This window comes from Homo sapiens, chromosome 18 (genome assembly GCF_000001405.40).
Source record: "Homo sapiens chromosome 18, GRCh38.p14 Primary Assembly".
NCBI lineage: Eukaryota > Metazoa > Chordata > Mammalia > Primates > Hominidae > Homo > Homo sapiens.
In genome coordinates, this window is record NC_000018.10 from 32935682 (window position 1) to 32959864 (window position 24183).

General features: G+C 35.2%; 1 protein-coding gene and 1 long non-coding RNA gene across 11 annotated transcripts in view; one reads left to right on the forward strand and one right to left on the reverse strand.

Annotated features, from left to right (window-relative positions):
• Positions 1–1724: 1724 nt before the first annotated feature.
• CCDC178 (coiled-coil domain containing 178) overlaps positions 1725–24183 on the reverse strand; it is a 503635-nt gene continuing 481176 nt past the window's right edge. For all 8 annotated transcript variants that reach the window (NM_001371120.1, NM_198995.3, XM_011525951.2 and 5 more), the window contains one exon: positions 1725–2410. In NM_001371120.1, coding sequence (NP_001358049.1) covers positions 2330–2410 — 81 coding nt within the window. In that variant the 3' untranslated portion in view covers positions 1725–2329. The remainder of the gene's footprint in view (positions 2411–24183) is intronic.
• LOC105372059 (uncharacterized) lies at positions 2404–22233 on the forward strand. 3 transcript variants are annotated; one of them, XR_935365.3, is made up of 5 exons: positions 2404–2596; positions 18297–18405; positions 18825–18966; positions 20953–21129; positions 22091–22233. It is a non-coding gene; the product is annotated as an uncharacterized LOC105372059 (long non-coding RNA). The 3 variants fall into 3 exon arrangements; XR_001753402.2 differs by lacking the exon at positions 20953–21129; XR_007066328.1 differs by lacking the exon at positions 18297–18405.

The window sequence follows — 24183 nt, forward strand, 5'->3', positions numbered from 1 at the left end:
TGTCCTGAGAGCTAGGAGATAACTAGTTCTTTTTTTTTTTTTTTTTTTTTTGAGACGGAGTCTTCCTCTGTCGCCCAGGTTGGAGTGCAGTGGCGCGATCTCGGCTCACTGCAAGCTCCGCCTACCGGGTTCACGCCATTCTCCTGCCTCAGCCTCCCGAGTAGCTGGGACTACAGGTGCCCGCCACCACGCCTGGCTAATTTTTTTGTATTTTCAGTAGAGACGGGGTTTCACCGTGTTAGCCAGGATGGTCTCGATCTCCTGACCTCGTGATCCGCCCGCCTCGGCCTCCCAAAGTGCTGGGATTACAGGCGTGAGCCACCGCGCCCGGCCGGAGATAACTAGTTCTTAATAAGAATGTTAATTACCACTGGGTGTGTGAATTCTATTGTGTTGCCTTATTCCAAGTCATTTAGATTAACATATCTATTAAAGGCTTTCTTGTAGAAGATTTCCATTTCTGATGCAGGCTCATGCTTTCCCTTCTGTGTCTTTTCTCATGGTTTACACCTAAATGGAACACTGTCATCTGGGTTTTTGCATATTCAAATCTTAGTCATTCTTTAAGAAGTAAAGGCTACTACCTCCATACACTTTTGTACACATCTCTCAGTTCCTAGCATGACATATTGGTTACAGAAGATTTTCAACAAATATAGTTGAAATGAAAAGAATGAATTAAGCACTGTATTTTTTTGTAAGGTATTGGAGTCCCTCTCTGGAAATCATAGTAAAATTATATCCTAGTAGAGGATATAATGTAATATATGTTCAATTCTCTTTAGAGATATAAAGATATACTGGAGGGCCCTTAGATATTTTATTCAGCACAATATTATCCTTAAATGTTGACATACCATTGGGCTATATAGTACTTTGGGAGTGAGGTCAACATAAAGTGAGGCCTTTAGCTATTGTGTTTGTAATAAGTTTATGGAGACAAAGCTTTTGCTATTGTTTTGTTCATGTATATCCATTTGAAGAAATAAATTGAGGTAAAGATCAGTAATTGTACTCATAAAATTTGGCAGTATGAGCAAAATAAAATGTTGCTGTTGTAGTTTCCTAAAAGTTATTTTAGGGTGAAAGACCCTCTTAAAAGTAGAGAAATGTTAAAAAAGTTTATTTCCAGGCCTAGGATCATTTGCTCTAAAGATAAATATATAAAATGCCAGAGATCTTTACTTTCCACATTTTTATTACGACCAGTGATTATTCTTCTATAAAATATGCAGTGTCACAGTTTGTGGCAGGTTCTGAAAACAAAAGCTTCTATGTAAATGAGTAGGAGAAAGATTTGGATCTCTAGTTAAGCAACATACTGTAAACAATTAGTTTAACTGAAACATGTTTTCCCTTTTGTAGGCATTGGGGAACAAGTGGCCAGATGTACCCATTAAACTAAACTGGGAATGGCCAGGGATTCAAAATTTCTGGAGGCCTTTCACCAGGCCATTCAAGTTGTTCTTTAAAGTGCCCCACTTTTTTCTGTTTCTCTCTCTCCCCTGCCCCATCTCTCTCTCTCTCTTTCTCTCTGTGTGTGTGTGTGTGTGTCTTCATCTCTCTCTCTCTCTCTGCGTGTGTGTGTGTGTGTGTGTGTGTCTTCATCTCTCTCTCTTCTTTTGCATAATATTTACCTCAAGCTTGCTTCAGGCTAATGTCTCAATAATTTCCCCTCCTTTCTCAGGTCCTTACCACAAAGGACTTGACTAATGATCCATGGACAAAATGAAGCATTTAAATTTATTCATTAATCATTCATCTCCAGCTCATTGAAAACTTTAAACTTCCACAAAATTAAGATAGAACATTGAGGAGTGATTGAGAGAGACAGCTCTCAGTGAGCTAAAAAAGACTGGTAAACACAAAAACAAAAGTACATTAGACAGAGTGTCTCAAAGTGTCACATGGGCATAGATATTGTTACAGTTTACACAAACTTTAAGTACTGAATGGCAAAGCCTTTATTTGGGCCAAGACGATAGGGAAATCTGGGGAAGCGAACAGTCACTGTCAACACCGCCAGTAATTATTCTCTCTTCCAATTAATGGTGACATAGATTAATTATCAGATGAGGCAAAGCCAATTGCAATCAGTCACCCAGAGCTGAAATTAGATCGTTCCTGACAGCAGCATGAAAGTCACCTGTTTCATTGTTATGGATTTGCTGTGAGTAAAAGAGTGGCAAAGCATGCTGGGAGGTGAGTGAGTTTTTCGTTCATGGAAGTGTGAAATGGCAAACAGGTGAATGTCCAATTACACTGTTATCTGAACTGTGTGACTTTTCTTGTCTTTTATTTCAGCATCCAAGATACATTGGTTGTTTGCTTAACCATCGTTTTCGCATGTGCCATCTGTCAAAGTCTGGAAGAAACCTAAGATGTGTTGCATTAAATTTGAAGATTCCTCCTGTTCAGAAGCAAGAAACAAACAAAATCAATAAGTACTCATTAATTAAGAAAACAGAGCATTATTATGAAATCATACACATGGAAAACTTATCAACAATAAAAATAACGACAAACACCATTACATTCTCCTTTATAGGAGACAAACAGTATAAACCCCAAGGAAGAGTGATTTCTCTATGATCTAGTAAGTTCTAAAAATTAAAGTCCAACTAACTTTAAGGTAGAGAGTGAATGAGACAATTAAATTATTCTACTGCTTTAGAGATTCTTTTACCCACTATCATCCTTGTCCCATTACAAAGATTTTAGGCAAATTTGTCACATAGAGAAAGTGAAATTTTGGTTATTAGATAAGAACAAATTATAATGATGGTCACTAGGCTTCTGTTCATAGTGCTTCAACAACTGGATGTTCGTATTTATTCAACAAATATATTTATTTATATAAATAGGGAAAAAGGAAAATTTCTTGCCCTCATGGAGTTTGCATTGTAATGCAAGGAAAGAAACAACACACATGCACACATATACACATACAGAAGGGTACTTAATAATTAGTAAAATGTGTGTATAAAATGTGTATAATATATATTTATAACTACATGCTGCAGTAATGTAGGATCCCCACTGTTTTCTTCTTCTAAATGTAAACAAGGGCAAAGGCAACAACACATAAAAAGTTAGTTCTTGATGACCTTTGTCTTAAGGTTTATCTATTGCAAAGTATTTTTCTCAAACTATTCTTGTAGATAGGAAAACGCAGAGTTCACTTTTGTTTTTGGATATTAAGAATATGTACTGTAACTGTGTGCTCTGATTTTCAATATTGGTTTGGTCTGCTGCCATTCTAAATGCATGTTATAACTGAGCCATAATACATATAAGCGGTTTTTTGGGTAATTATCATACGTCTCATCCCTTCAGTGCTATTTATAGTCTCTACACTAAAGACTACATTACTTTAATTACCCAAGAAGTGAAATAATCCCTTAAAAGGTCCAGCTCTGGATGTCTGGATGTCACAATACCATCATGAACATATTTTGTAGAGATATAAGGCTATATACTTAAGCAGGTATAAAATAGTCTTATGAAAACTAAGTGATTAATTCCAACTGAAATATTTGATATGTGTTAATATGTATTTCTTGATGATGGAAATACTTCTATGTTTATTTTTAAGAAAGATACTTAAATATCATTTTCTTCTAGGAATAGGAACATAACTGAAAAAAAAAAGATTTTAAATAAGAGATAAGAATGAAACATTGAAAAATCCATCTGAATAAAGCCTGAAAAAAATCATCCTACTTTTAAAGGATTTCATAATTGGATTCAGTCAAGTTATATAAGAAGTCCTATGAGAATAGTCAAACGTGGTATAAATCTTTAATTCAGAAATGAGGATATCATAGATATACAGAATACTTGCTCAATTAATGGGCTAGGAATGAATTTTCTTTTTATTGGGAAAGAGAACCATGTTTTAGTATTTGTAAGAACTTAGGTCTTGATTTGGAGATAGCACACAACAGTAATGACGGTGACTGAGCCTTGATCCTTGAAGTAAAAGACAACACACAGGAAAAATCCACCTGTATTTTATTTTGTGATCAGCACTAATAACCTGCATGACTCAGTGTGCAGATAGGAGCATGGTAGATGGATTCAGCATCCATGAGTTCCGGCTTCAGACACCTGTCAGTAATCAAACGTTATCTCTTTCATATCCGAAATGTTTGGGTCTTTATATAGAAACACACACTCCATTATAAATATATAGATAGACTAATGGAAGAACAATGAATCTAAATTTTGAATTTGTATGAAAAATTTAACTAGATGAAGCCTTGCTTTAATAAAGCTAATTACAATTGATGTGTAATTTGCATAATAAAATGCCAGTTTACATTCTCTTAATCTTAAATTAGCATTACAATTACATTCTGGATATTTAAGAGTGTTTCTAAAGTACTAAAAAAGAATCCATTTGCTTGAATTGGCAGAGTTTTTTTTCATATTATGTTTTTAGTATTTGCTTGGGAAATAAAAATCTTTTCATGGTGAAAATCAACAAAATGATTGATCCAAGGTCAAACCAAGCCCTGTATAAATTATACAGAAAAAGAAGAAGCCCCTTTTGAATTAATGAAATTTGAAAAATAAGATTTATAATTCTGTGAATGTTTGTATGAAGTCAGCATATAGTCATATATTAAAATATATCTTTCATTAACTTTTATCAACTTTTCTTTTTTTGCTTCTTGCAAACTTCGTAATGCAGATATTAGATCTCATAATATAATTTACTGATTGATACCAGAGACAAAATATTTTACTTTTTGTTCCTAGATTAGGATTCTATTTTTATATTAGTATAGTCACTATTATGAATTATTATTATTATTTTTTAACTTTATTTTAGGTTCAGGGGTACATGTGCAGGTTTGTTATATAGGTAAACTTTTTTGTTTTGTAACTCGTTTTCTCCCTTATGGGGGTTTGTTGTACAGATTATTTAGTTATCTAGGTACTAAGCCTAGTGCCCAATAGTTATTTTTCCCGCTCCTCTCCCTTCTCCCACCCTTCACCCTCAAGTAGACCCCAGTGTCTGTTGCTTCCTGCTTTGTGACCAGCAGTTATATGAGTTATTTTAAATAATAAATTAAAATGTTTATAGGACTATAAAAGAAAAAGATCCAGGTAGTCCCCCTTATGCAAAACATTGATCAGAACAAAATGAAATCAGAATCAACCTCCCTTTCTAAACTCATTGGATTTGCTTTATGTGGGAAATGATTTTCTGGGGTGTGTTAAGAACGTTCTTGAGGTGCTCTGGGGAGACATAGGAGGTAGAGCTCCTCAGCAGTGTTGAAATACAGTAGGAACTCAGTAATAGAGCTTTGAGGGTCAGGGAATGACATGTGAAAGGACAATGGGGCACATATTTTAGCAGACCTAATAGAACTCCTGCAGTTTAATGATTTTTTTTTTTTTTAATTCTGAAAGACGCTTACAAAGTTGCTTTAGACCTCACAGTACCAAGGGCAAGATGGAACTTAACTCTGCAGATCTGTAATGTGACATGCAATTAATGCTCTATGAGCCGTTTGCCGGAAAAGAGTTCAATGGTCATCAGTTAAAACACTGTGATGATAATTTCAATTACTAGCTAATTTCTAGATTTGAGAATATACTTTATTTTTTAAGTATGATTACATTCCTTTCTGAGTCCTCATATGAGCTGAGAGTGAAAATCTTTGGCACTTGTCTATTCAACAGGAGATTTCTGCTATAGGAAAACGATAAAAGTAGGGAACAATTGAACAGGAAAACATGATCTTTCAGGAGTGTTGTTTGGAAAGAGGAGCCCATTTTTAAAAGAGATATATTGGCAAGTTAGCAAACAGCTGTCCTAATAATTTATTAGAGATTTTATTACTTTTCATCAAGAAATCACTGAGGTCACTTTTTAAATGAAGCAATTAAGTTATAAAAAAGACTCTTTCAAAGAAATCTAACAAGAAGAAAGCTAAAAGACCTGCTATTTCATCTTTTAGATAAGAGTGACACTTGACTGAATGCCAACAGTATGGGCAAAGGTGCAGATGGTAAAGGTATGGAAGTTAGGTCCTGCTACTGAGCTTAGACCAAAATTCAACATGTTCCAGAACTTTTGAAGGAGGAAAGATATGAAAGCACATACTACATTATGTCTACTTGTTTCTTAATTCTATGTTCGTGTGTTGCTTTGATGTGATCACATCAAGGAATAAACTTCCAGTAGAAAGAAAACAAACTTCATAAAAGTAAGGATTGATGAACCTCTCTTCAAAAAACTACTACAATGACCTGAATATAGCCCTTCCTTAATAAGTTATTGATGACAGTGTTAATAATTCATCTACTCAAAACAGGAAGATTTCTGTTTCTGTTGCCATCCCACCCAGTTGATCACATAAAGAGAAAATGGGAGGATATATAGGATCCACTCAGTAGTTATGGTCATCTTTTCTCCTAATGTAGTAAATGAGTTTGAAGTTCACATGGTTTGTAAAGTCTTTTGCCCCAGTGTTTTGGAAGGGTAAGTGATTAGGTATATTCAGTGAGAACACAGAGAACAGAGTGACCCACCAGAACTTTCTCCTCTCACATCAATTTCATTTTGAATATCGCCATACATGTCCTGGGATTCAGTGTAGAACCAGCTAAGATGAAAAGTAGACCTGGGGCTTGAAAAACATACCACTTCCAGATCAATCTTCGCAGCTCTCTAAGTGAGGCATAATCACTGTAAATCTTCTTTTACAGTTGATTTATACTGCAATTAAGGCAGAGAAGAAGCACATACAAGGCCAAAAGTGGAAAAGTAGCACACATTTTTCATGGAAAGTTTTTTTCCCCATAAGTCAGAGCACAAGAGAGTTTTCTAAAAAAAAAATTATGAGAAACTAGTCATGCTGACTGACATGATATGGGAGAATGTTAAGTCATCTGTGTTTTCTGTTTAAATGTATATATTTCAGTTGATTAAAAAAGCACATGGTGAATTGATCTTGCAGCTTATAAAAGCTATATTTCAGCTTTGGTGTTTTTTATTCTTTTTTTTTAATCAAATTATCTCCCAAAGCATTTTGACTGAAGTTTATTAACACAGCAATGCTGCTATTAATGCTTCGCAGTGCACTCTTGCAAAGTTAAGTAAGAGACATGACTTTTCCTATGCATACTGATCATACCTTCTGAAGGTCTAAAAGAACTCAAGATTGCATAGCTGAGTGGTTTTGAAGAAAGAAAATTGTTACTTTGTCTTTTTTTTTGTGCAATGTTATTAGATTTTTGGTGGGGAAGCATTCATAAGAAACATTATATTGCCAGATTTTAACTGGTATTTCAAATATTATCAGATTTCCAAAAAAGTAAGTTAGAAATTCAGAGACCAAAGCAGCTAGCTGCAGGCCTTTGTGCTGAAGTTAGGGGATATTGGAAGGAGAATCATGAAGCTGAATGATGAGGTTGCCTTTCAGGGAACATGGTGTGAGGTTATTTAGATTAGAGAGGAAAATAATCACATCTTTGACAACATGCCAAATGATGGAGAGAAAGTGATCCTTTCATTTTATATATAACAAAGTGATAGTTTAAAAAGAGGACTACTTATCCTAAACCAATATACTCTAAGGGAGAAAAATATTTCAAGTATCCTATTCCAGCCAGTTAATAAAGAAAATTTCACACGAATTCCCTGTTGAACAAATGATCATGCTCCGTGATCTTGCTCAGTTTTGGGGGGAAACAATTAAATCTGTGGATAATAATAGGTCCTATTTTTTTTCTTTTAGGAAACTAGTGCTTCTTTTTTTTCCTAGAATTCAACATGAGTGGCAACCTTTCCTTAAATTATTCTTATAAATAAAATTGTATACTATTAATACTTCATTTTTTCTATTTCTAGACTTATTACTAAATTAATTAGCAGGAGTTTAATCCTACTTGTGTTTTGATTCTCAGAATACAATCAGCAGAGAGTAGCCCCATTGTGTTTTCTTGAGAAAGAGCAAATATTTTGTGGCAAAACATGTTGTAAACACTGAATATTCTATTCCACTTTTTCAAGAGATACAAAGCACTATGGTATGATTACAGATATTCTGAAATTTCAAAAAACAAATCCCGCTTAACATTTTAAAACTCAGCACTTCTGAAATTTATTGTCCACTTGATCTTTTATCAGGTAACACAACATATTAAGATTCAACCAGATATATTTGGGAAAATTGTAGTGATGTGCAGAAAAAGAATTTAGTTAAAATGAGATCTCGTAGTTACTTTTCAAACCTTGTATGGACATTGTAAGTCACCTTTCTCTTTCATATATTCATGCAACAAACATTTATTTGCCTCTGTTATTTCTGAGGCATTGTTCCCGGCACAGTGGAAGATATTGTGGCTTAAAGTGGAAAAGTAGCACACATTTTTTTTTTCAGGGAAGGATCCCCCTACCCCCAGTAAACCAGAGCACAAAATATGGTTTGGCCTCAAGGGATGTGGAAATAACTAGTTTATCACAACACAGGATGTGATATGGTCACAGAAAAGTGGTGGTTTTGAGGAGAGAAATACCACTTCTGGCTGGAAGTTTAGGGAAATCTAATAAAAGAGATGATGTGTAAGCTGGTCCTTGAAAGATGAGACCGGAGATGGAAAAGCACGGATCTATTTAGGGAATCATTAAATATATCAGTGTTCAGAACTCAGAGCATGGCTAAAGATATATTTGGAAAGGCAGATAGAAAATAGATGATGACAGATACTGCACACCAAGATTATCTGCTGTAAGTGATGGGGAGGCACTGATGGGCCTATTTTAAAGAATCACCATGTCTGTAGTACATATTAATTGAGATGTGGCTATAAAATTTCATTTCAGTTAGCCACAATATGTACTTACACATCCTATTTGGAAGGTTTATGGTTTTTTTCCCCAATGTGTTCTTACAGCTCTTGCGTAGGCACCATCTTCATAACCAACTTTATAGCTATGTTGGGAAGTTTCCTGCTCACAACTTGAAACAAAAATAGCGACATGGTTTGGCTGCGTCCCCACCCAAACCTCACCTTGAATTGTAGCTCCCATAATTCCCATGTGTTGTGGGAGGGACCCAGTGGGAGATAATTAATCATGGGGTGGTTTCCCCCATACTGTTCTCATGGTAGTGAATAAATCTCACTAGATCTGATGGTTTTATAAGCAGTTTCCGCTTTGGCTTGGCCCTCATTCTCTCTTGCCTGCTGCCATGTAAGATTTGCCTTTTGCCTTCTGCCGTGACTGTGAGGCCTCCCCAGCCACGTGCAACTGTGAGTTCATTAAACATTTTTTTTTCCTTATAAATTACCCAGTTTGGGGTATGTCTTTATCAGCAGCATGAAAACAGAATAATACAAATAATATTCTAGCTAGTCATTCATTTTACTCATTGTTTGTGAATTTGATTGTTTCAAAAATTGAACCCACACAAATCAGAGATTTGTCAATGCTGTATATGCTTGGAATTGTAGGCTATATGTCCTGAAGGCAGTGAAGGCAGTTCTAAAGCTGTTAGCAATATAAGGATACTTAGACCTCATTATGACTGGGAAACGACTTGCATATATAAGAATATTTAACAGTCACATTACTTAATAATCTCACGTGAGTTTTCTGAAATACACATTTGTGAATATGAACATACTCCCCAAGTTTGAAACTTTAAGTTGTCAATTATTTGTCTGATTTACTTTAGATTGCTGATTACATGAAGTTTGACTAGGAAAAGAGGCTTATACAAAACAATTTAGCATTGCATTTTAATTTTGTTACATAAACAAAATTTTGTTACATAAACATATTTGTTTACTTTTGTTACATATTTAATTTTCCTACATATTATCTTTGAATTTCAACAATTTAAAAACTAAGGTGTTTCAGCTCAATATGAGCTTTCACTTTAGTAACTGTGTAAGCACAATTTGGAGAAGGCCACATGGCTTAACATATTGAAGCACTTAAGAGGCCTAACCAAATAAATTATTTGGCAGGAAATGACCTAAATCTAAAGGTGCATGCTTTCTAAAATTCCTACAAATTTGGGTTTTTTTGGAGCAGATCTCGTATTGCTGATGTTTGTGTCTTGTTTTTACCATGTTCATGCAGAGACGACTATAACTTCTTTTATATTTTTAATGTGATATTACACAGTTTTTAATGTTGAGAGCAAAAAAGCTTAGATATTCCAGGTATTAGTTTAATTGGGCCCAATTTTAAGTGGGCTTTAAGTGTTTGCTTTAATTTTTTTTTAACTTTTACATAGTCTGTGACTGAATTATCTTTCTTTATGTTAAAAGCTTTAGGATAATTGTCTCTTGACCATAAAGTTTGCTTCATTTTGTGCCATTTATGAACTATACTTCCTTATATTACACTTGGTGTTTGGAATAGGCATCAAGAAAAATCTCGTGTTTGGGTACAGCCTTGTTCCTCACACCACTGAAATTCCCATGTAACCTACTTCTAGGGAGGCTCTGTGCTCATCAGAGGCCCTCAAATAATTTTTACTCATGAGAATAAATGTGACACTGTTGATGAGCTAACCTTGTAGATGGTTGACTCTCAGTTAGGTAAAATCTCTTAAATTTGCCCTAAAATGCAACAAAATAACTCTGCTTGTGAATTTGAATTTTACTGTTATGTCAGTATGGCTTATCCACCACTTTTCTTCAAACTCTCTTCATTCTGATTGCTTTGAAATGAGTATTAAGACAGAGAAATATCATTTGACAAATATTCATTCAAAATATTTAGACCTAAAAGTATCAAGACTATGAATGAAATATATGGTTATTACAGAGAACACAATGAATGATCACTTTGTTATTTTCTACAAAAGTTTCTATATACTGATCCTCAAATTATTCACAAATCACATGCTCCCCAAGGACAGAAATTGTATGCAATCATCTTTATATTTTAGAACCTAGTCCGGTGCATGGTCTCTTGTGGGTATTTAATATAGATTTGCTGAATTGAATTATAATAATTATTAACAAATACAGGGAGGAATAGTAACTTTGGATCGTTGTGGTTTTTTGGGTTTTTTTTTTTTTTGCTGTTTTTGTTGTTTTTTTTGTTAGTGTCTTTTTTTTCTTTTTCTTTTTCTTTTTTTTTGAGACAGAGTCTCGCTCTGTCACCCAGGCTGGAGTGCAGTGTCGCAATCTCAGCTAACTGCAAGCTCCACCTCCCGGGTTCACGCCATTCTCCTGTCTTAGCCTCCGGAGTAGCTGGGACTACCGGCACGCACCACCACGCCCGGCTAATTTTTTTGTATTTTTAGTAGAGACGGGGTTTCACCGCGTTAGCCAGGACGGTGTCGATCTCCTGACCTCGTGATCCGCCCGCCTCGGCCTCCTAAAGAGTGTCTTTCTTTTATCTGTCTATTATAATGTCTCAGGTTGGGGGAACATAAGAAAAGTGCCATTCTCCTTTGGTATAGCCGAGGGGACTTACAAAGAAGATCTTTATAGAGGTATGTACAACCAGGAACATAACAATAACAAAGCAGTCACGATCAGAAATTGCTAGGTTTGAGAAAACAACAAGATGTGTAATGGCCAGATTATAGAATATGCATTAACTCTAAGAAACTGCAAAATATTTTCTACAGTGGTTGTACCATTTTATATTCCCACAAGCAGTGTATGAGAGTTTTAGTTTCTTACCATCCTAGCCAACTTTTAATATGATCAGTATTTTAATTGTAGCCATTCAAATAGGTGTGTAGTGGTATCTCATTGTGGTTTTAATTTGCCTTTCATAAATGACCAGTGCTGTTAAGCAGCTTTGCATCTACTTATTTGCCATTTGTATATCTTCTTTGGTGAATTGTCTATTCAAATCTTTTGCCCTTTTCTTTTTGTGAGTATCTATTTACCTAATAATTGAGTTTTGAAAGTTTCTTTTTTTAACATTTATATTCTGGATACAAGTCCTTTATCAGATATATCCCCTACAAATATTTTCTTCCTATGTGTGACCAGTTTTTCATTTCCTTAACAGTGTCTTTAGAAGGTCAGAAGTTTTACATTTTGATAAAATCCAATTTATTATTTTATTCTTGTGCTTTTGGTGCTGTACATAAGACATCTTTGCCAATCCCAAGTTCATAAAGGTATTCTTCCCCTAAAATCTAGAAGTTTTATAATTTTAGATTCTATGTTTAGGATTATGATTTTGAGTTAATTTTTGCATATTGTCCAAGGTAATGGTGAAATTTTATTTATTTTCACATAGATATGCAATTTTAACAGCACCTTTTCATGAAGAAATTATTCTTTCTTCAATAATTTGTCTTTGCAACATTGTAAAAATATCAGGTTTTCATAAATGTGGGCTTATGTTTGTGTCCGCTATTTTGTTCTATTCATCTATTGATATATTTTGATCCAATGCCTCATTTTTTTGGTTACTGTAACTTTATAATGAATTTTGAAATTAGGTATTGTAAGTCATTTAACTTTGTACTTCCTTTATGATGTTGTTTTGGCTATTCTATGTCCTTTCCATTTCCTTGTGGGTTTTAAAACAAACTTTTCAATTGTTATGAAAAAGCGTCTTGGAATTTCGATTCAGATTGTGTTGAATCTTTAGATCAATTTGGGTAAAACTGGCACTTTAACAATATTGAGTCTTCTGACTGAGAAATGAGGTACATCTTGATTTATTCAGGACTTCTTTAATTTCTCTCAGAAATGTAGTTTAATTTTCTTTTGTGGCACAGAAGTATAAATTACTTCACATTTTTGATGCTATTGTATAGGCATTGTCTTCTTAGTTTCAACATCCAATCACTGTTAGCACATTGATGCTATATTATGCAAACTTACTAAGCTCACTTGTTAGCTTATGAGCTTCTTTGCAGACTTAATTACATTTTCTATATGGATAAGCATGTTACCTGCTAATAATGACCATTTTACTTCTTTGCAATCTGAATGCAAGTGATATTATATCATTTAAAAAACGGTATAAAACCAGATAATAATACATTTATTCTCTGTTGGTTTCATGCTATTGTCATACTTTTTACTTATTCATATTTTATAAACTATTCAATATATTGTCATTTGTTGCATAACCAGTCAATTGTCATTTAAAGGTGTTTTAAAAATAAGAAAATAATCACATATTCCTTCATGTCATTATCATTTGGGAGCCAATCATTCGCTTCAGGAGACCTGTATTTCTATCTAGTGTCATTTTGTCCTTCTTCCTGAAAGACTTCATTTAACGTTTCTTGTAGTGCAGGTCTGCTGGTGATGACTATTTTCAACTTTTGTATGTCTGTAAAAGTCTTCGTTTTGCCCTATTTTGAAAGATATTTTACTGTGTATAAAATGCTAGAATGACTTTCCCTCCCCATTACTTTAAATATGTTACTCCGCTCTCTTCTCATTTGCATTGTTACTTATGAGAAATCTGCTGTTAACCTTATCTTTGTTCGTCGGCACATTACATGTCTATTTTTATCTGGCTCTTCTAAAGATTTTTCTCTGTATCACTGGTTTTGAGTAATTTCATTACGATATGCCTTGGTATAGTTTCTTACATATCTTGAGGTTGGGGTTTCTTGAGATTTCTCTATTTCTTTGTTTACAGTTTAGTTTACAGATGAAAAAATTAACCATGATTTTTTAAATATTTTTCTGTTCTCTCTTTATTTTCTTCTCTTTCATAGACTCAAGTGTCACATTTATTAGGTTGACTGATGACATCTTACAGCTAACTGGTGTTCTTCATTTTTAAAACTATTTCTTTCTTTCATTTTGGACAGTTTCTATTGCTATGTCTTCAAATTCACCAGCCTTTTTTGTTAGGCAATATTAAATCTGCCACTAATCTTATTCTATGTATTTTTCATCTCAGGCATTGTAAGCTTTATTTCTAGAAGTTCAATTGGGTCCTTTTTATATCTTCAATGTCTCTACTTAATTTATAAACATATGGGATACTGTTATAACTGTTTAATGTATTTGTTTGCTAATTTTAACTTCTTTATCAGTTCTGTGTCAGTTTTAATTGATTGGTTTTTCTCTCCTAATTGGTTGTACTTTTCTGGTATTTTTTGCATTCCTGGATTTGATGTTTCCTTGGATGCCATACATTGTGCATTTTACCTTCCTTGGTGCTAGATATTTTCATATTCCTATATATATAGTTTTCAGATTTGTTGTGGCATGCAGTGAGGTTACTTGAAAATAGTTTGATCCTTTTAAGCCTTGCTTTCAAAATTTGTTAGGTGGGAATAGAATTACGTTAGCATACGGCTAATTAATCCCTACCACTGAGGCAAGACTTTTCTGAGGATTGTACCCAACTCTCCACAAATCATAAGCTTTTTCATTCTCTTAGATACAAACATGTCATATGTAACAACCAGATACTATTTCCACTAATATTTTGGATGACTCTTTTCATGAGTAGAAAACTTGGGTAGTTTTCTTAGAAGCATTTGCTGCTTAAAAGGTTATCCAAGGGAGACTTCTGTAAACCTCCAGAGAGAATCTGCAAGGCTTTCATCCCTGATACTGTGTCTTGTAAATCCTAGCTGCCTTATTCTCCTTGAACCCTTAGCTCCATTTACTCAATTCACATAATTTGCTGGACTCTGCCTCTATTCTTCCCACCTGCACCATGATTTGTAAAGTCTCTCAAGCCAGCAAGATAGGAAAATTGTAGGGTTCATCTTGTTTGTTTCATTTCTTTGTGGGATCACTCATTTCTTAACTGATGACCAATGGCTTGAAAACTATTGTTCCATATGCTTTGTTCAGTGATTGGTTATTTTAGGCAGGCAGGTAAATATGACTCTAGTTACTTCATTTTGGCTGGATGTGGATGTCTCATTCGATTTCGTTTACTTTCAGTAGTACTTTTAAAAACATTTCCTGGTTTCCAACAGTTACAGTTACCCAAGAGTTTCCAACAGTTACAGTTACAGAAACTGGTGATATGGCTGTGTGGGGCCCCAGTGTGTGAGTTCCTTACAACTTCAGCTACTTGAAGTTAGTAATAGGCCCAGTTTAACAGGTAAGATTAAACTTTAGATGAAAAAATTATTTTTAGTAATTTTAGGAAAATATTGGAGACATACTACTTCAAAGGAAGCATATTAAAAGGTAAAAAATTAATCTATAATACTTAGGCATAATTGTGATCAACACAGAGTTTTAGACTTCTATAGCTAATACCTTTTCCTATGTTACAGCTGAATACCTTCCCCATAATTTCAGTTACCACTAATATGCTGATGTCTTCTAACATATTTTTTTCTAGCCCAGGAGTATCTTCTTAGTACAAGACTCATAATCCACTATACATTTCTCTAGAATTCCAATACTACAGATGTATTTGTTTTGTCAAAAGAAAAAAAATAGTCTGCAAAATTAGACTTATTTATTTTGCCAGGAGCAATTGTTTTACAATCTATTCATTAATTTATTCTTTTTTTACTCAGTTATTACCTATGTTAACCTATGCTTGAAGGTAATATGCTGGTATGTAATCCTACTGAAATAATTCTGCCTTAAGGGATAATCTGGAGATATCACAGGAGCATCCCTTTTTATTATTATAAATTTAATAGTTTAACTTGTATTCGTTCCTTCTCATGCTGCTGTGAAGAAATACCCAAAACTGGGTAATTTATAAAGAAAAGAGGTTTAATTGACTCACAGTTCCATATAGCTGGTGGGGCCTAAGGAGACTTACAATCATGGTGGAAGGCACCTCTTCACAGGGTGGCAGGAGAGAGAATGAGTGCCAAATGAAGGGGGAAGCCCCTTATAAAATCATTAGATCTTGTGAGAACTTACTCACTATCATGAGAACAGCATGTGGGGAGCCACCCCCATGATTTAATTATCTCCACCAGGTTGGTCTCACAACACATGAAGACTATAGGACTATAAATTGAGATTTGGGTGGGGCACCAAGCCAAACCATATCATTCTGCCCCAGCTCCTCCCAAATCTCATGTCCTCACATTTCAAAACACAATAATGCCTTTCCAACAGTCCCCCAAAGTCTTAACTCATTCCAGTACTAACCCAAATGTTCAAGTCCAAAGTCTCACCTGAGACAAGGCAAGTCCTTTTGACCTATGAGCCTGTAAAATCAAAAGCAAGTTAGTTACTTCCTAGATACAATGGGGGTACAGGCATTGGGTTAACACACCCATTCCAAATGGGACAAATTGGCCAAAACAAAAGGGCTACAGGCCCCATGCAAGTCCAAAATCCAATAGGGCAGTCATTAAACCTTAAAGTTTCAAAATTATCTCCTTTTACTCCATGTCTCATATCCAGGTCATGCTGACGTAAGAGGTAGGCTCCCACAGCCTTGGGCAGCTCCGCCCCTGTGGCTTTGCAGGGTACAGCCCCCCCTCCCAGCTGCTTTCATGAACTGGCATTGAGTGCCTGTGGCTTTTCCAGGCACATGCTGCAAGCTGTCGGTGAATCTACCATTTTGGAGTTTGGAGGACAGTGGCTGTCTTCTCACAGCTCCACTAGGCAGTGCCCCAGTGGGGACTCTGAGTGTGCTGCAACTTCACATTTCCCTTCTGCACTGCCCTAGCAGAAGTTCTCCATGAGGGCTCTGCCCCTGCAGCAAACTTCTGCCTGAACATACAGGTATTTCCATATATTTGAAATCTAGGTGGAAGTTCCCAAACCTCAATTCTTGACTTCTGTGCACCCGCAGGCCCAACACCATGTGTAGGCCACCAAGGCTTTGGGTCTGCACCCTCTGAAGCAATGCCCTGAGCTGTATCTTGGCCCCTTTTAGCTACAGCTGGAGCTGAAGCAGGTGGGCAACAGGACACCATGTTCTTTCTATGTGGCCACATAGAACAGGGGGGCCCTGGGCCAAGTCCATTAATCATTTTTCCCTCCTAGGCCTCCAGGCCTGTGACGGGAGGGGCTGCTGTGAAGGTCTCTAACATGCCCTGGAGACATTTTCCCCATTGTCTTGATGATTAACATTTGGCTCTTCATTACTTAGGCAAATTTCTGTAGTAGATTTGAATTTCTCCCCAGGGAATGTGTTTTTATTTTCTACCACATTGTCAGGCTGCAAATTTTATAAACTTTTTTTTTTTTTTTTTTTGAGATGGAGTCTCGCTTTGTTGCCCAGGCTGGAGTGCAGTGGCATGATCTCGGCTCACTGCAAGCTCCGCCTCCTGGGTTCAGCCATTCTCCTGCCTCAGCCTCCCGAGTAGCTGGGACTACAGGCACCCACCACCATGCCTGGCTAATTTTTTGTATTTTTAGTAGAGATGGGGTTTCACCATGTTAGCCAGGATGGTCTAGATCTCCTGACCTCATGATCTGCCTGCCTCGGCCTCCCAAAGTGCTGGGATTACAGGTGTGATCCACCATGCCTGGCCAATTTTACGAACTTTTATGCTCTGTCACCTCTTGAACACTTTGCCACTTAGAAATTTCTTCCACCAGATACCCTAAATCATCTCTCTCAAGTTCCAAGTTCCACAGATTTTTATGCCAGAGGCAAAATGCTGCCAGTCTCTTTGCTAACGCATAACAAGAGCGACCTTTGCACTAGTTCCTAACAAGTGCAACATCTCCATCTGAGACCATCTCAGACTGGACTTCATTGTCTATATCATTATCAGCATTTTGGTCCAAGCCATTCAACAAGTCTCTAGGAATTTCCAATCTTTCCCATGTCTTCCTATCTTCTGAGCCCTCCAAGTCTCTAGGAATTTCCAAACTTTCCACATTTTTCTATCTTCTTCTGAGCCTTCCAAACTGTTCCAACCTCTTCCTGTTACCAAGTTCCAAAGTCAATTGCAAATACAGCCTGTGTGTTCCTTACCATTGGTGAACTGAAGGTTCCAATAATAATAATATAGGACAAACATTTATCCCATTCCTGAACTCATCTTTGACACTCAAAAAGTAGTTGGTTACCAAAGTTAAAAATGATGAACAGAAATGTTCTTTTAGAAATGTTACACTTAATAACAAAAGAAGGAACCCCATTTAGCTCATACACACCTAGATACTTTTTCTTCTTTTCTCTTATAAAACAATGTTGTGACACAATTTTTCACTGTTAATATCTGCAGCCTTGACATTGTTTTTCAATGGACTTCCTTATTTTGGCTTTGTTATTATATATTTACTTGTAAATAATAACATGAATAAGGGCAAAATGATAACAGAAGTTTTCTTTACATTCAGACTTCTAGAGATGTTAATGCATAAGCTTCCTTTCACATATATCTCATGACTTTTTGGATTCATACAATTTCTTGATTTTTTTTCCCTAGCCTCACAGGTAGATTGGAAGCAGAAAAATAAATACACAAGAGAGCTTTCAAATATGACTTTAAACAATACGGTGTCCCTACTTGCCTTTAAAAATGCACTGACTCTTGGGTATGTTTTATAAAAAAAGTTCTTCAAGTGTGAATAAATGAAATCTGATATTTTCCTAATGCTGCCCTGGTTCATTTTTTTCATTAATTAACTCAATACCAGATTATTTCCTGAATACTATCTCAGGTAATCCTTTGATAGAACTGTCCATTTTATTCATCAAATATTTATAGCAAACCTATTAAAACGTATGCCCTCTAAGCACTCCACAGGGTATGATGATGAATAAATCATGAACCCTTCTTACAAGGGTTTTAGAGACTTCTGAAGAAGATATGTATGTATCATATACACATGTTGTAGGTATATATCATAAAAATGCTATATGTATATATTTGGCATGTATTTCAAATAATATGCATTTTACATTGTATTTGGCTCTATTGGGAATATAAAGCTGAATATGGTATTGTTTTTAGGGTTCCAGTCTGTCTGGGGAAATAAATTCAAGCTGTTACAACTTAATACATCAATTGCCATGGTGGAAGTATGAAAAAACAATGCCTGGATATATAGAAGCAGGAAGAATATTCTCTCTTTTATGAGATAAGAGAGTTGAAGGTACGCAGAGAGAATTGGGAGGTAGTGATGGAAATGACTTCAAAGGAACAGAAAGCAGTATCAGACAGTCCCCAGGAGCAAAAGAGATATCTGTCTCCTTTCACATTTTATCTCTTTCCCCAAACTCAGTAGTGTTAACAATTTTTGTTTAATAAAAAAGGAGGGAAGAAAAGAATGAATGGTGTAAGACAGTGTTTTGTTGAATTTCCAAGCCAGGATTCATGGAAAGGTAAAAGAAATATCTATGTTAGAAACTAAATGCTACATCCACTTAAAAAAAAAAGTCTTGTCACTCATACTCCTTTGCTATCTCTCAAATACCCTTCTTTATCTCCAGTGACATTACATCATTTCAGGATGCTAGCTGTCCAAATTGAGTTCCTGCAAGAGCACCTTAATCAATTTCCTCAGTTCCAGTCATGAAACCTCTACTCCATTTCCATCCCCTTCATCTCCCCATCCAAGCTTCTACTTTCCACATATCAGTCTAAGCAATCTTTCAAAAACTCAAATGTTATCATCTCCCTCTTTTTCTTTACATCAATTTCCACTCCTCTGCTTCTTCCCCTATATCCTCAGGATGAAGTTGAAGCTTCTTTGCATGCCACACAACCATCTGCAAGATTAAGCTCCTGTTATCTCTTCACACTCACCCATAGCTAAAGCCCAATTGTACTCCTATAGAGTCATATGTAGATATTTTAATTCCAGTAATGTGTAGATTTCTTTCAGGTCTAGGTCTTAGTACTCTGTTTGTCTTTTGTATGGAAAATCTTCCCACCTCTGCCTTTTTCTTTGTCATTGCAATTATCATACTATATTGACATTGCCTCTTAGCTGATTTTTTCTATCATAGACTAGAATTTTTTCTTAGCAGGAACTGAATCTGGTTCATCTTTATATCTGTCTGTATCTTTATAAATGCCTACACAGATATTTGATAAGTATTTATTAAATTAATGAAAAGTTTCTATTACACACACACATACACACACATACACTCCCAGATCTTTGTCATGTCTCAACATATTCAGGATTTTTAGAAATAACTTGTCTGTGTATAACTTGGTAAACTCATTATATATTTCACTTAGCCCTTATAATTTGTGTCTTATGAATTTGCTGATTGGTTTCTATTCACATTTTCTTAGTGTTACATAATCTCTTTAGGTCAACTGGAATTTGTATAAGTTTTCACTATCTTAAGGTATTCCAGAACAGGTACTACTTAACTGCAAACATAGTCTCTATTCTGTTTTCTCATAAAAGGCTTATATTACTGTTTTCCTCCAAGTGTCTTTTTAAAATCCATGTGCTAGCCATCATGGTCCATTCCTGATACATATTTAAAAGGTCTTTAGAAAAATTTTGCCTATAACTAACACTACACATTTTTTCATTTTGTTTTGCCTGAAAATTGAGTTATGTACATTCTTCTATTTTTCTATTTTTAAATTTTACAAATATTTTTAAGTGAGAAAGATAAAAACAATCAGAATGTTTCTATTTAATGAAGTCAAATGTGTGGGAGAGGAATTCAATGGCTAAGATCCTGGCTATCCATATATTTATTTTCATGTCTTGTATTTCTACATGTGTATGGTAAATTTAAGTGCATTCTGGTGAATTTTCTTTGCAAATTTTAAACTAATTATTTATTTATTTTTTACGTAACTAAGAAATACAGCATAAAGTGTTTTCTCTCACAATGCTTTAAGCCTGGATAATACATCATATCGTATTATACAACCACTTAGTTTAACAGATGCCATGATTGTGACATGTTTTCCACAATAAGTTAAAAACATACGAAATGAAATCCACAAACCTCAGGTTTACTACAGAAAAATCACTTTGCCTCTTCTCCCCTCTGATAATAAATCATGTAAAATTATTGCTGTAAGTAAGTGGCCTTGGGAAATCACTTACACTATTTGAGTTAATTAATTTATCTACAAAATGGACCTAACAAAATCTTCTTTCCAGGGTTATTTGTGAGGCCCAAGTTAAAATAAGCACAAATTGAAAATATAAAGTACTGTAGAAACATGAGCCAAGGCAATGATGCTGGAACTCACCGTAGACCCCTGGCTGCTGTCTGCATTGGTGCAGCGCAGCTTCCTTTCTTCACAAAATGACTACAGAATTCTACTAACAAGTCATGTGAGATGAGTAATTCCCTGCTCATAATATTAGAAAGAACTGTTTTTTCCATCTGAACTTTTATAAGGCAAAGAAAAGATGAGGGGAGGCAGGAGAAAACATTTCTGTAGGATCATTCTTATTTAGAATCTTCCAGGATAAATATTTCTAAAGGAAGGAAGGAAAGCTAAAGAGAAAGAGATGAAATAAGAGAAAAAGAAGCCGTTTTGATACAGTAAAGATAACATTTCATAATCCAACCTCAGCCCTGGATTTTGACTTTTGAATGAATCAGCTGGCTGAGAACTTTTTGATCCAAGACAGGGAAAGATGCCAGCTGGCAACTCTAGAGGCTGAATGCTGAGATCCTCCTTGTTGTACAAAAAGGTTTTAATAAGAACATGCATTTAATTTATTACAGAAGAAGCAAGGAAGGATCTGATCATGCAGTCTTGTGGTATTTGCTAGAAATCATATGTTTAAAAGCCTAGGAGATAAAAATTTTGACATATATGAGGAATTTTGATTTCATGTTTTGCTCACTGCATTGCAGATGTTTTTATTTGTTTGTTTGCTTTTTGCATCCAAAATGGTGTGATGTTAACATAGCAGCAGAAGGTGGGATCAGTTCTGGAAAATGAAACTATCTTGCTCAAAACAGTGGGGGTAACATCTATAGGCATTTGTATCAGGGAAAGTATAGGTCAGGGGCAAACGATGAGAAATTTGAACATACTAAAGTACATGTTGTTAATATTAGGGAGCCTTACCTTCATCATTAACTAATTTTAGCCTGTTTACTTAATGCTTCAAATCAATTTTTAACAACATTAGGATATTACAATATTAGTTGTCAAATTATAGATTTTGTAAGAAATATGCCCAACAGAGTAAATCAGGATATAGAAGAATGCTGTACATTTTATAATTTTCTACTACACAGTCAAGTTTTCATCCTGATAGGTCATTTGATTCTCTGCAGGTGGCTATGCCTGCTGCCGAAGAGAGAACCCTGAGTCACAAGTACACAAATGAAATGCGATTGTCTTCGTGGGTTGCATCGTATGATTTGGAGCAAGTCTTCAGGTCTAATATAAAGATCTTTCAAATAAATCATCCAGCTAAGCTTCTGTGGCCCCAAACTCCTAATTTAAAAATGTTGATAAATGAAGTACCTCTTTAGTTAATAAATGAAGTATCTCTTTAGTTATCCTTTGTCAGCAACATTCATTTTAATGGAAAGTGAGTTTACAGGGTTACATGATTGAACTACTGAGCCAAGTCAGTGTTGGCAAATGATGGGCTAAATTATTGATGCTACACACTAATGAATTCTGATGAGAAATAAAACACAGACATTACGTTTGAAGTGGTTCATAATTATTTTTGTACTTTAAAAGCAATTTTATTCTTTTTCCAAATCATACTGGTTCTGTAAAACAAAAACATAGTTAGTGATTATACTAAAATTATTGAGTTTGTGGCAAAAAATGCTCTTGCAAGTTTTCATTTCTGTGAAGATAATGTTATTCACACTAGGTTTCTGATTTCCTTATATACTTCTGGGAAAAGATAATTAAATTAAATGTCTAAATTTTAAAACCAGTGTCTTTAAATAAGATAATCTGCTTTGTAACCATGGTTAGCATTCCAATAGATGTGTTTATAAGCTATGATATGTCTATCAACACATTTACTGGAGCTGTGTTGAAATACCATAATTAGTTCAAGTAATGTCAAGTACAGAGGGACTTCCAGCAGGTTTGTTTTGGTAAAGAGCTTATGTTTAAACGTGTAGCAGAGAATGCAATGTGTACTGTAAAGTGATAGATGTTTGACGAAGTCAGGGCCTGATGGCAATAATTGAAGCAGGTTCAAACCCTACTAAGGTACATAGAAGTCTATACATTCTGTAGTGTAATGACAATGTCCTTTGAGCTTTCCTGACTTAACTGTCCCAGCCTGAGACTTTAATTCTGCAAGCTTGCTGCCTTCCTTTTTGGTTAAGGGTTGATTTATAGTGGAGTCACTCAAACAAGGGCTCAAACTGAAGTGACCACAGGCTGATTTTTAACTAAGAGGGATTGTTCACTAAGAGGCATTAAGGGTGGAACTCACAGTTGTCAAGGTGTTAGTCCACAGATTCATCACTTTCTGGTTATGAGTCTCTGGACCCGTAACTCAGCTCTCTACAATTCAGTTACCAAATCCCCCAAATGTGGTAACAAGTTCTCCCATCCTATCTGAGAGGTTTGTTACAATTATCAAGTCAGATATTGATGAAACTGAAACCTGTTAAGTGAATGTAAGGTAAATTTATGTCTTATATTTGACTGGATTCTAGTTGGTTTTGTCAAGATCATAAGCACTCATTTGGAAAATATTCCCTTTGCCAACTGAGGGATCTGCAGGGGAAAGGAATGAGAAGAGTTTTCAAGTCAAGGTTTGGTCATGTTAGATGATTTTCTCCTATTGATAATATGTGCAGTTTCTTACATGAATGAAAATCCAAAGGTTAAGCCTCCTATGTTTAAGAACCTATGAGACTCTGTTGGATTGAGGTAGGATACATAGTGCATTGAACTTTAGTTCTCATTTGGTGTACACTTTCTATGAAACAAAAATAAAAACTGAGTCTGGTTCATTTTAACTCTATAACATGCCATTCTCACATTGTTTTACTGAGTCCCTTTCTCCATTTTCATAATTTTCTCTTTGTCTATGGTCTATGATAGACTTGGCACCATTTATGAGAACAAGGCTGCTTCAAGTTTTCATCTTTTTTGAGTTTTCTTTTAAAAATGTATCCTAATTTTTTTTCTCTTGTTATAACTGCACTGTTCATTGTTTTATGATCTTGATACTTTTGGATGAAAAATCATGTGCCTGAGTTAATCTCACATCAAAGCAGCATCATTATATAATGATGATGCTAAGTTGTATGAAAAATACCTACTGGATATGCTCCATTAGTCACTAATTTTCAAACGAAAAGTTCTGTCTTTGAAAAACTCCTCTCCCCCACACCATTGACATGGCTCTTCCACTTGAAAAATGTCCTGCTGGCATAGAGTG